Below are 13,358 nucleotides of genomic sequence, written 5' to 3' on the forward strand. Positions count from 1 at the left end.
TTCACTGTATTATGGTGTATCCTAGGATACTATGCGTATCAGTGAAACATTCTTGGTAACGTGCACCATTTTTTTTTTTTTTGAGAAGGAGTCTCCCTCTATTGCCCAGGCTGGAGTGCAGTAGCACAGTCTCAGCTCACTGCAACCTCTGTCTCCTGGGTTCAAGCGATTCTCCTGCCTCAGCCTCCCGAGTAGCTGGAACTACAGGCGTGCACCACCATGCCTGGCTAGTTTTTTTGTATTTTTAGCAGAGACGGGGTTTCACCATATTGGCCAGGCTGGTCTCAAACTCCTGACCTCGTGATCTGCCTGCCTCGACTTCCCAAAGTGCTGGGATTACCGGCGTGAGCCTCTGTGCCCGGCCAACATGCACCATTCTTGCCAAAGACCTGAACTTTACCATCTTTACTCTTTTTTCAGCAAATTTGTTTGTAAAAACCATTTCCTCCCTGCCTCTTCCTTTCTCTCTATCCCGGTCACTCTCCCTGTATATTTGTATGTGTGTATATACCTGTAATAAAGTCATGCATTGCTTGATGACAAGGATGCATTCTGAGAAATGTATCGTCAGGCGATTTTTTTTCATTATGCGAACATGATAGAGTGCACTTACACAAATCGAGATGGTAGAGCCTACAGCACACCTAGGCTATGTGGTATGGCCTATTGCTCCTAGACTACAAACTGTATAGCATGTGACTGTATTGAATAACTGTAGGCAACTGGAATACTATGGTAAGTATTTGTGTGTCTAAACATGGCAAAGGTGCAGTAAAATTAGAGTATTACAATCTTATGGGACTGCAGTTGTGTATATGGTCCATCTTTCGCCAAAATGTCCTTAAGTGATGCATGACTGTGTGTGTGTGTGTGTGTGTGCATGTGTGTGTGTGAGAAATTCAAAACGTCTGTATTGATATAAACTCATTAGGTGATTTAAAAAAATTGGTTTAGTCAAATTAAATTTTCAAATTGGTTATCCTTTTTTAAATCACATGTCCAATCAAGTACCCAAGAAAGACATATTAATTTTCTGTAATGCATTCTCAATGATATAACATGATCCAAAATTCAGGTCATTTAGATATTGTTTGCTCTTTTAAAAACTTTAAAAAAAAACATTTAAAACTTTTATTATAAAAATGCTCAAAATACACATGAGTAAGAATCCACCCTCAAGCTTGTCTTAAAACAACACTCATAGCTGATAATTCTATGGGTCAGCAGTTGGGGCTGGGCTCAGCTGAATGGTTCAGCTGATCTGAGCCATGCATGGCTGATCTTGGCTGGGTTCACTTTTGCATCTGCAGTCAGCTGTCAGGTCAGCTGGTCCTAACTGGGAAGGCTGAATCCTGCTCCACATTGTCTCCTGTCCTCCAGCAGTCTAGCCTGGACCTGCCCCCGTGGTAGTGAGCATGTTCACATGTTGTTCCTTTCTCTGCTATCTTAGGTTTATTTAGCTCTGCTATCTTAGGTTTATGAATAAAATTAGATATTATTTATATATATACTTACAAGGATATAATGTTCCTCCTGAAGTTATCTAACTAATGTGCTGCCCCTTAAACTGAGAGGCAGCTTAGTATCATGCTTAAGAGCACAAAGTCCAGAGCACATTTCCCTGAGGTTCATATTCTGTCTCCACCACTTACAACCTACATGATCTTGAGCAAGCTACTTAACCCCTCTATGCCTGAGTTCTGTCCTTGTCTGTAATGAGTAAAAGAGTTAATATATGTAAAACATTTGGAAGAGTGCTCAGCACGTATTAAATATCATGTAAGTGTTAGCTATTATCAATTCCCATATTAATTGTTAATATAGATATATATTTAATGATTTGAAAGTTTTTAATAATTGGTTTTATAAGTATAATTAGCAGCTTTCATAATCACCATTAATTATTGTATCCTTTTGCTCTTATAATTAAATATATGTATTTATAATTTAACAGACTTGGTAGCATCTAAGCATTTAAATCACACTAGGAGATTTTTCACTCCACGTTGCACCTAGAATGATTATTTATATTTGAAAATTCATGTTTAGATATTGAAGATAAATTCAAGTGCCATGCCTAGTTTGTATTACTGACCTTGTTATGCTGATTTAAAGATGGATGTTGGTAACCTGTGTAATCGCATGATCATTGATACACATAAATTTTATGGGTGTAAGAAATTTCCTTGAAGTAAGAACTCTGTTATCTTGTCTTCTAGGCTAAGTTCAAATACATTTGGATAAAAACTGGGACCAAGGTTGAATTTTGACATATATCTATTCTATGCCAGTCACCCTTTTAAGAAGTATTTTACGTGATTTACCTTATTTAATTTATTCAACCACCTCTTTGATTAGGAAACTTGCAAAAGAGAGTTAGTTCACTTACTCAAGGACATACAAGGTGTGACTGAGTCAAGATCCTAATTCAGGTTGTTTGGCTACAGAGCTTAGCTTTTCCTACCAAGCTCAGGGAGCCCTCCTCAGGTCCTGCCCAGCACAGTCCAGAGTACTTTGCTTGCTTTAGTCCAATTCTTTCACAGTAGGCACTGTTTGTTTTTGAGTTTATGGACGAACTGACTCAGATTGAGAGTGATTTTCATAAGGTCACAGAACTAGCAAGTTTTGTAAGGTGAGATTTATCTACCAGCCTGCTCTTGGCAAGGAGTGTGACTCTCTCTGTGGCCTCTGCTGTTGGGATGCTGTGTGTGATAAAATCCCCTGCTTCTTTCTTTCCTGAACCCTTGCAGGAGCTTCACCAGAACCTCACAAGCATATAGTGTTGAAATGTTTATGTAATTAAGAAATTTATCCATGTTAAAATTATACCCAGCATTTGCTTTAATTTAAATTTCTTGGTTTAGTGGTAAGATAACTATTTTCCCAGACATCTCCATTCTAATTGTATTTCTGCTAATGCAGATTGCTTTTTCATATTATTTGCTAATTATTTATTGGTATTTTGATGCTTTTTCTGGTTAATTAATCCAACAGATTACTTAAATTCCAGACTTTTGATAATTTATAAACTTGATACTGTGTTGTTAGTTTAATGTGGACACCGTTTCATTTTCTCCACTGACTCACCTTGTTAAATTTTGACCATTCCTTCTTTCTGCCTTCTGATCAAGCAGTGAAAATTCCTGCATGACTCTGGTTTCTGACCCTAGTTGGGCTAATGAAACATCCTTTGGCTTCTTCTTCAGGAATGTGGGGAGCTGTCAATCAGGGATGTCAACAGAACCCTTGGAGTCTTTTGAACTGTTTTTTAGGACAAAGGATGATTTAGCAAGCTTCTTCTGAGTACCACTAGCAAGTGTTTGAATGTGTCAAAGACAGACCTTTAAAATATTTAAGTTTGGCCTGCATTTTATGTAAAAGCTAACTGCACAATTTCTTCTTAAGGCAAGTCATAGTTTAGCTGGTAGACTATCACCAGATAGCTCTGATCTGCAGACCATACTGAGTAGCATAGGCTTTTTTTTCACATGTGGAAAAAAAAGGTTTCTGAATCAACACTAATTTAGGGGAAAAATAAATGGAAGCTTATATTGTGATGGCTTATGTCATTCTGAGATTTACAACAGAAACTAACCCGTTTCTAAAGATGTCAATCAATGAAAAACTTGACGTATGGGAAATTAAACAGTCTCTTTAGAACGTTCTAAATAGTCAACCTGTCACTACTCAATTGTTGTATGTGTGGCTCATTTCCTGAGATACAGTCATTAGCGTCATCAGATAGTTAAAAGGTTGTGTTTGCTTTACTCAGTGTTTGTTTTTTACTTATAAATTACAAAGCTCACACCTAGTATTTTCTACCTAAGTCACTGAAGCAGTTTGTCTAAATGACACACTGTAATACAATTTAGTTCTCATTAAAGCTTCCCTTTTCTTATAAAAGGAGAGCACATTGCTTGTTACTACAGAACCCACCGGGTTTCCTCTCTGCAGTGAGCCTCTTCCAATACTGCTTTGTCTCTTATGATAACTGTGTTTCACAAGTCCCTTTTAAGATTGATGGTCCTAAATCCATAAAGTTTACAGCCACTTCTGGTTGTTACTTATGTAACTGTTGGTGAACTTAATGATCTGATTTGCTAATTCTGTGAATCTCTTTTTATTCTTTCTGTGCTCAGTGAAAACAACTTAAAATATGATATACAACTAAACTGTGAAGTTCTTGCTGCAGGAATAGGTCCAAGTTTGTCTCGTTTGTAGTTCTCAAAGTGCCCCAATACATAATGGGTGCTCAGATGAATCCTGCCATGGCTAAAAGTGACTAGTTAAGGTGAAATAATATATTTTTCTTCAGCTCAATATTTTTATGAATAATAAAAATGGCCGTTCAGTTGTGCTGTGAATCACTAAATTGACAATTGAATATCTTTTTGGTATTTAATATAAATGTCTTAAAGCAAAGGTTATAAGCACATCTGAGGTATATGAGCTGTGCTTATTAATTTTGTAGCACCTAGATTCATGTGGAATTCTCTCAAGTAGAACAGAGTAACGTGAACTAAATGGCATGATTTGTAGAATGATCCATGCCAGGATGATCCCATCAGCTGCTGTCCCTGGTGAGGGAGTGTATTAGTCCATTCTCACACTGCTATGAAGAAACACCTGAGGCTCGGTATTTAAAGGAAAGAGGTTTAATTGACTCACTGTTCCGCGTGACTGGGAAGGACTCAGGAAACTTAGAATCCTGGCAGAAGGTGGAGCAAACACATCCTTCTTCACATGGTGGCAGGAGAGAGAAGTGCCAAGCAGAGGGGGGAAAGCCCCTTATAAAACCATCAGATTTCATGAGAACTCACTCACTATCATGAGGACAACATGAGGGTAACCACCCCCATGATTCAATTAACTCCCACTGGGACCCTCCCACGACATGTGGGGATTATAGGAACTACAATTCAAGATGTAATTTGGGTGGGGACACAGCCAAGCCATATCAGAGAGTAAAGGGATGTGCAGTTGGTTAGAGAGTTTTACTTCAGCTTCCCTGTGATACAGTATTACTTCTTTTTGCTATCTTACTGTGTTTTCACCAGCATGTCATGAATGGGGCAAAAATTAATACAACTAACAAATGGTCTTTTTCAGTAGTTGTTGGGAATCCACAAGGAAGGCAAGAAGAGACAGGGCAAACGGAAAGAAAATGTGTCATTTGGGAGAAGAGAGAATTTTTGTTATTCATGTCTTATTCCCTAGTGGCTGAGAAATAAGTATTTTATGTTTGTAGGAAGGGCATAGAAGAGGCAGTAGCTTAGGAGGGATATATGATATCTGGTCTGCAGAATGTGAATGCAGCTTGGAGACTGTGGTTTCATCAGACTGAAATGGGTGCTAATAAACATTTTTAGGGCGATGGTGGCACCTCCCTGCAGAGGCTTTGTTCCCTTTGAGCTTTGCTCCCGTAGTTCATTTATTTCTCCACAGGCCTTCCTCTTCCCTATTTCAGGAAATTTCTGGAGACATATTCTTTAGGAGCTGTGTCAGTACTGACTGAGGGAGTTGGAGGAGGGGTGTAACCTGGTATTATGATAATCAGGGGATGAGATCAAAGTGTAAAGGACAAATTAAAAATGAAAAGCTTTCTTAGGAAGCAGAGCACAGTGGTTTTGATTATTGGGAGGAGTTGCATTATGGTCTTAAAGCATTTGTGGGCTCTGATGTCAGTTGTAGGTTGCAGCCAGAATTGATTTGATTTTGCAAAATGCAATTGAGTTAGAATAGAAAATGTACATGCAGTACATATATACACATGGTTAGAAGCGTAGTGGTACACTTTTTTTTAATGAAAGCCTGGGTATGTGTGTGTGTAGGTAAATGTATATAGAGACATGTCGCTTTACACATGTATGCTGAAATGTAAAGAACAATATATTGGCGTGGCACAGTGGCTCACATCTGTAATCACAGCACTTGGGAGGCTGAGGCAAGTGGATCACCTGAGGTCAGGAGTTTGAGACCAGCCTGGCCAACATGGTGAAACCCCGTCTCTACTAAAAATACAAAAATTAGCTGGACACAGTGGTGCGTGCTTGTAAACCCAGCTACTCAGGAGGCTGAGGCATGAGAATCACTTGAACCCAGGAGGCAGAGGTTGCAGTGAGCCGAGTTTGTGCCATTGCATTCCCACCTGGGCAACAAGAGCAAAACTCCGTCTTGGAGTAGGGCAGCGGGGGAAGTACAACCTATTATTTCGTACTGAGTTAGTCAAAATGTTTGAAAAATATTAGTCTTAGGAGCACTGCCTTTGCAGTTTGAAGGTAAAAACTTTGCATTCCCCTTGGCCCTATCCGATGCTTTCACTTGTCCTCTAGTGGGTTCACCCTGCTCTCTCTTTCTTCAGAGCTTCATTGTTGTGAGGATTTAATTAGATCAAGTTCATGGAGCACCTGGCTTAGGCACTGGTGGCCCATTTTGTTCCCGTACCCTCTTCCCTTCTCCTTAAGACATGCAGATGTACGTGGTGATTCCATGTGCCGTGGCCTATTGGCACCCTTTATTTTCTCCTTTCCTTGAAGCCGGGTCTTTTCTATATTCAGAGCCTGGGTGCAGCCTTTCCATTCACCATGACCATGTGTGTCCACTTGCTTCCCACTTTCCCTCTTCATTTTCTTCTGCAACGTTCTTTCGTAGTCAAAGGGGTTGGCTTTTATAACTTACCTTTGGGTTAAGAAAGCAGATTTTTCTTTTTTTCATTCTTTTCTTTCAATTTTCCTCATCTGCTGTTGAGGAAAAATGTATATTTGGGTACCAAGGATGCTATATTGTTTACTCTTTGCTATAACTTTAAGCCTATGCTACTCAGTATGGTCGGCAGATCAGAGCTGGCCCACTCATTGTTTCTGGTCCCTGACCAGTACAGAAACTGAGAGCAAGTCTTTAGAAAATTTTTATAGGAATTGGACAGAATAATTTTATTTCATCGAATAATAACAAATCTGGGGCTACCATGTTGTGTGACTAAACAATTTCATTTTTCTAGCAATTCATGTTTATTGTATTTTATATAAATTGGTCTGAGATGCACTGGACTTTTTTTTTTAAAAAAACAACAACAACTGGTTTTTCATTACAGGTTGTTTGAGAAGTGCTGCTCTAGTGAACTGAATTGTTCTAACTGGTTGTATCTGCATAGGTCAGATGAAGCACAAATAACCCCATAAACTAGAGTCAGGAGATATGCCTGCAGTGATGGAACTTGTTAACATTTTGTTTGCCTCTCGTATTCTAAATCCACAAATTTAAAGGCATGGTCATACAAGAAAAAGGCAAAACAGCCAAAGGGAGGCAAAGACCAATAATCTGTGGCTTTTGCTAAAATTAAGAAGTTTAAAAAGTGAATTTTATAATAGCTTTAAAGTTCATAAAATGCTGCTTCTCTGTAAGCCAAAGTATTGAAGAAGCCATGTAACTCTTTCTTCCTGCTGGATAATGGAAAATATTCTTTTGTTGTTGTTGTTTGCAAAGTTTCTCAAATACACTTGGAAGAGAATTCATGTAGTTTTCTCAGCCTTGACAAATCTAGAGCTCCAAACACACCAATGCAAATTTTAATGATGGGTTAGAAAGGAATAATTCTGTGCAGTTATTACTGCTGTCACAAACAATGATGGAAGATAGTTTAATCAAAAGCCTTTGCCAGTGGATATGATTGGCTAAATTTAATTCACCCAGAGATTTGAGAATGTGAACATTGCATGTTCTTATCAAAGAGTTTTCCTTTTTGGGGAAACCAAAATAATTATTCTTAAGAAGCTTCTAAGTCTGCATCTAAAGGCTGTCCCTTTTTGAAGCTGACTCCATCATGCAGAGCTCATTTCATTTGCCTGCAATGGTATATTTTCTACTTATATACTAGTGACTTAAGGGTGTTTTGTTATCTGAACACAAACGGAATTTCTATGCTAATTTGAATTATGATTTTTTAAAAATTTACCGAGCTGGAATGCTTTTTGTAGGAGGAAAGAATTGTAAGGAAGTAACTACAGAGGGAGACCCAATTACTCTTTGAAAATGCATTACCTCGCAGTCAAAACATTTAAGTAGAAGGTGAAAATTAAACATTCAGCCATATAGGGATAGTTTAAAAAACAGACTTAATAGTCTAAAATTGAATATAAATGCTTTGAATTCTGTAATTCTCTAAACATTGGTTGGTGAGTTGACTTTATACCTTCATAGCAGATAGGTGATAAAAACGAACTAAGAAGCAACACTTCTCTCCCTCCTGCCAACTGTAACTTTACTGCAGGTTGCTAGACTTTCATATTTGCTTCTGTAAACTCATTGGCACATAATAGTACACCACTGTCAGGAAACACGAGTGTGGATAGAAACGTCACCTTTTGTACTTTAAAGCTGTGAGTTAAGTCCTGATGGCCACACACTGAAATAAAGATACCCTTTCCCCAAAAACGTAAGGGGAAGATTAATTGAGTTGAAGGTTTTGTGTTATCTCAGTACTAATGTTCTTCTCTCGTAAAGAAAGGAAACTTAAAAATTACCACTTAGGTGAATTATAGTAGGACCAGGAGAGTTGTGAGGTGAACAGGGGGAAATAGAGATAAATGGTAAAGAATTCCAGCTGGGCACAGTGGCTCACACCTGTAATCCTAACATTTGGGAGGGTGAGGCAGGAAGATTGCTTTAATCTTGGAGTTAGAGACCAGCCTGGGCAACATAGTAAGACCCTCTCTCTACAAAATAAAAAATAAAAAAAATTAGCAGGGTGTGGTGATGCACACCTATGATCCCAGCTACTCGGGAGGCTGAAATGGGAGGATCACTTGAGCCCAGGAGGTCGAGGCTGCTATGAGCCGTGACTCTGCCACTGCACTCCAGCCTGGGGGACAGAGTGAGACCCTGTCTCTAAAAAAGAGCCACATAATTTTAAAAAGCCATACATTTAGGAGGGTTGTGGAGCTAAAGTCATCATAATGAAAGTCAGGAGCATTTGCTGGGCTTGTGTTTTGTGGCAGGCTTTGTCCCGCTTGCCTTGTATGCATTCGTGGTTAATTATGAGGCTGCATAGATACACCAATTGGGAGACTGTAGAGGAAGGGAAAAAGGGAATCTCACAGAGGAGTGTACCGCAGGGGAAGGTGCTTGGCAGAGACTTTTCCTCTAAAAGATCATGAGTGTTGAAATCTGAGTGCTGCTTAATTGATTTCCAGATCAGTTGGGAGAGACTAGCTGTGCTAGTGACCATGGGGGCAGTCCAGACAGAATTGCCTCCCAAGGACCTGAACCCCTGCCAGAGGAAGACTGTGCATAGAGTCTGCATTTCCACCAAAGCCCTGCCCCTGCACTTGAGAAGCCTCTCATGAATTTCACAAAATCACATGCTGAAAATAGCAGATCTTAGGCCAGGTGCGGTGGCTCTTGCCTGTAATCCCAGCACTTTGGGAGGCCGAGGTGGGTGGATTACCTGAGGTCAGGAGTTCAAGACCAGCCTGACCAACATGGTGAAACCTTGTCTCTACTAAAAATACAAAAAATTAGCCAGGGATGGTGGCAGGCACCTGTAATCCCAGCTACTCAGGAGGCTGAGGCAGGAGAATCGCTTGAACCCAGGAGGCAGAGGTTGCAGTGAGCTGAGATCACGCCATTGCACTCCAGCCTGGGCGACGAGAGCAAAGCTCCATCTCAAAAAAAAAAAAAAAAAAAAAAAAAAAGGAGAGAGAGAAAATAGCAGATCTTGTGAGAAGAACAGGGTTGGGGCTGACCCTTCCAAATCTATGCAGCTTTGTAGCTGGCAAGTGAACAAAAACATTGACAAAACTAATAAAAGTGCTGGCTCTCTGAACTCCACTCTGGCACAGACCCCATGAGACCATCCTTGGCCCTGAACCCCAGACCCTGAACCCAAGGCCTCCACTTCTTCCCACTCTCCATAGAAGTCCTCGAAGTCATTCTCTTCTAATAGAGACTACTTGCTGTGAACGTAAAAATATCATCTGAGGTTTGTCTTCTTCATCAGTCCTTTTCTTTTTTTTGTCCTTTTTAAACACAGAGGAAGGGGGCAGAGGCTTCACAGTTCTTCACCCGTTCTTACAGTTTCAGAGACAGCTTAGGAGTGGAAAGAGGAATGAAACCACCAAACCCCCCTTCTTGCCACTCCTTGCATTGAGGAAAGATCCACTTCTGTAGGATCTTCAGCTTTGTTTAAAAGACATCATGCACTGATAAAGCTTTCCCTTTATTTGAGAGGACAGTTGCCCCTCATCACTTCACAACATGAATGTCCTGCAAAAAATTGCACATAAACCAAGAGGACTTGTGTGTAATAGGGATGTCACTCCCCTGTCTAGTAATCCTCTATGAGTTAATCTGCACTACAGAAGCATGCCTCAAAGCAAAATAGACTATTCTTAGTCAAACAGGGAAAAAAGGAGGAGAAAAGACTATAAAAGCTAGGATCACTTGAGTAACTTAGATTATACCTGAATTTCACCTGGATCTCAACATAAAAATTCTTGTGTACTTTAGACACAAGAGTGTAAGAGCATTTCATGCTGGAATGGAGCAGAGTGGATTTAGCATTGGAGGCAGGCTGTGTAGCTAGTAAAATAACAGTTTTGGAAAACTGGGTGATTTCCTTAACAGTAATGGTAGAAAGGTACCCAGTTTATGTAAATATGTGAAAGGAGGCCCCTCTGAGTGCTTCACAGGATGTGGGCAACACTTATTTTGCCGTCCTGTGTATATTGCCGTGCTTTCCACCCATGCTTGCCCAAGCTTAAGTGATGGGAACAATGAGAGATACAATATTCTTGGCAATATGGCCATACTCCAGGTTTTGTTCATTCAGACGTGACCTCAAGAACATGTCATGCCTCAGCTCCACCAGTAAGGATATATGTGGTAACTGTTGTAGATAACAGAGCCCCCAGTGATAGAATCTGGCGTAAATCAGCTTCTATTTCACTAAGAGCAGGAAAACACAATCTGTAACTCATACACAGGAACGTCCTACTCTGGATTTATGATGGGGTTCATCAACCCTGCATGTTTTGAAGATTTTTTACATTTGTAAACAGTAACTAACCTGAATTATTTCAATGATACTCTCGTCACTTGTTCTTTCTCTGCCCCTCTTTCTTAAATGACAGTTAAAGTTCTTCCTTAATGCTGAAATATATTTCATAGGTAAGTTATATTTCACAGATAGGTTCGCTTGTGACTTGGCTTTTGTATTTCTAGGTACATAACATTCATTGCTTGAAAAATTGCTCTGTTTTAAAATAGCTACTATAATTTCCCTTCACTGCTGTGAAAGGGTATTTTTTTCATATGTGTTCAAAAAGCACATGAAGAAACATGGGGTTACTGGAGTGTGGCATAATGAGTAATGGGCTGGAAACTCAGAAGCTCAAAGTTCTGGTTTTGCCACTAACTCATCCTAAAACCTAGATAAGCTGCTTCTAATCTCTCTGTGACCCCATTCCTGTTTATCATAAATGGTGTTAAACCTGGCTCACCTCATAGCTGTAAAGGTAGCAACCATAAGAAAGCATATGATAATATAGATCCTTTAACAACAACCTCTTAATCGGTGAAGGATATCTACATCTGTATTTTTCATTTGATACTTACAGTCATTCTTTGGGAATTACTATAAAAAAGTGGTCTTCTTGTTTTGCTGTTTAGGCAATCACAGCATGTAAACAAGACAGAAATTCCATACATTTTCTAGTACCGTGTATGTGTGTGTTTACTGATAATGTGTGGGTAGACAATAAACACATATTAACATATATACACACCTTGAACATTGTGATTCACAATGAGGGTACCCATCTGTGTAGTATTTTTATTTTTTTCATTTTTATACTCCAAGTTCAGGTGTACTTGCTCCTTAGAATTTCAACGCATTTTTTCTCTGTGCTAAAGCCGACCTATGATAGCCTATTTTCCCTTGTATCTTAGAACATTTTGCTTTTATCTTTTACTGTGTGAAATATAAAATTCATATGGGGAAGGCTCAAGTGCTTGGTATCTGGAAAGCTTGAATCCATCTGGAAGCTCCTCAACACTCATGGGTAGGTTAGGGCCATTGGGGTCAAGATCCAAAGAGCTCGTGAGACTTCTTAGAATGATCGTCCTTCAGTTGGGACAATGATTGCCTAAGTCATCACCTTGTTGTGAGAACACCTCCACTGTCAAGGAGAAGTCAGTTGTTCCAGTGATGGAGGTGGGGTACTGGTGCTGAAGTGCAAGAGGATCGTATTACATTGACAGCAGGGAACAGATGGGGCCAATATCATGACCCTAAGATGCACAGCCCACCCAATCTTTTGTCTTTCTCTAGGTTATACAGAGTGATTACTGAGTATTGCTAACATGATGGGACAGTGCTGTTCAGTAGAACTTTCTGCTGGATGGAGATGCTCTGTATCTGTGCTGCCCAGTGTGGTAGCTACTTGTCACACGTGGCTATTGAGCACTTGAAACACAGTTGGTGTGAATGAGGACACGCATTTTAAATATGGAATTTTAATTTTTATTTTAAATAATCACCTGTGACTCCTGACTGCTAGACCTAAGGCGAGTCTACAAACATTATGCTACATTTCTGTTATTTAGAAGTCAAATTACAGTAACATCCAGGGAATTTTCCATTAATACTATGTGCACTCTTGAGAACATATAGGGGGATGATAGGAGGAGGAGGTGGTGATATATGAAATAGGAATGGAAGAAATGGCAGTTTAAGCCTAAGTAAGACATGGAATTGCAGTGCCAACCCATGTAAATGGTGGTGGGTTTTCAGAGATAACCAGAAAGTAGTGTTTCAGGGTATGACTCTCCTTGATTTTGTTTTTGCAGGTTCTTTCATGCTGGTGAATGCCTCTGGGAGACCTGAGGGGCAGAGAGCCCACCTGCTCTTACCCCAACTTAAAGAAAATGACACCCACTGCATCGATTTTCACTATTTTGTGTCCAGCAAGAGTAATTCTCCTCCGGGGTTACTCAATGTCTACGTGAAGGTCAATAACGGGCCACTGGGGAATCCTATCTGGAATATATCTGGAGACCCAACACGTACATGGAACAGGGCAGAACTGGCCATTAGTACTTTCTGGCCTAACTTTTATCAGGTATGTGCTTTCTTTTTATTACATATTTTGAAGCATCCTCTAATTTCTAAAAATATAAATTATTGTTATATCATTATAATCAGAAAAGGTTGTTGTATTTTTGTTGGCAAGGTTGTGGAGAAAGGGGAACTCTCATCCTATACTGTTGGTGGGATTGTAAATTAGTTCAGCCCCTTTGTAAAGCAGCTTGGATACTTCTCAAAGAACTGAACAGAGACTTACTGTTCAACCCAGCAATCC

At 39.7% G+C, this 13,358-nt stretch overlaps 1 protein-coding gene across 26 annotated transcripts in view; it reads left to right on the forward strand.

Moving 5' to 3' along the window:
- The window catches only part of PTPRM (protein tyrosine phosphatase receptor type M), an 839,541-nt gene that overhangs the window by 307,944 nt on the left and 518,239 nt on the right, over positions 1-13,358 (forward strand). For all 26 annotated transcript variants that reach the window (XM_011525708.3, XM_047437715.1, XM_011525712.3 and 23 more), the window contains exon 3: positions 12,847-13,118. In XM_011525708.3, the coding sequence (XP_011524010.1) occupies positions 12,847-13,118 (272 nt within the window). The remainder of the gene's footprint in view (positions 1-12,846; positions 13,119-13,358) is intronic.

The sequence above is a fragment of the Homo sapiens genome, chromosome 18, assembly GCF_000001405.40.
Source record: "Homo sapiens chromosome 18, GRCh38.p14 Primary Assembly".
NCBI classification, from domain to species: Eukaryota; Metazoa; Chordata; class Mammalia; order Primates; family Hominidae; genus Homo; species Homo sapiens.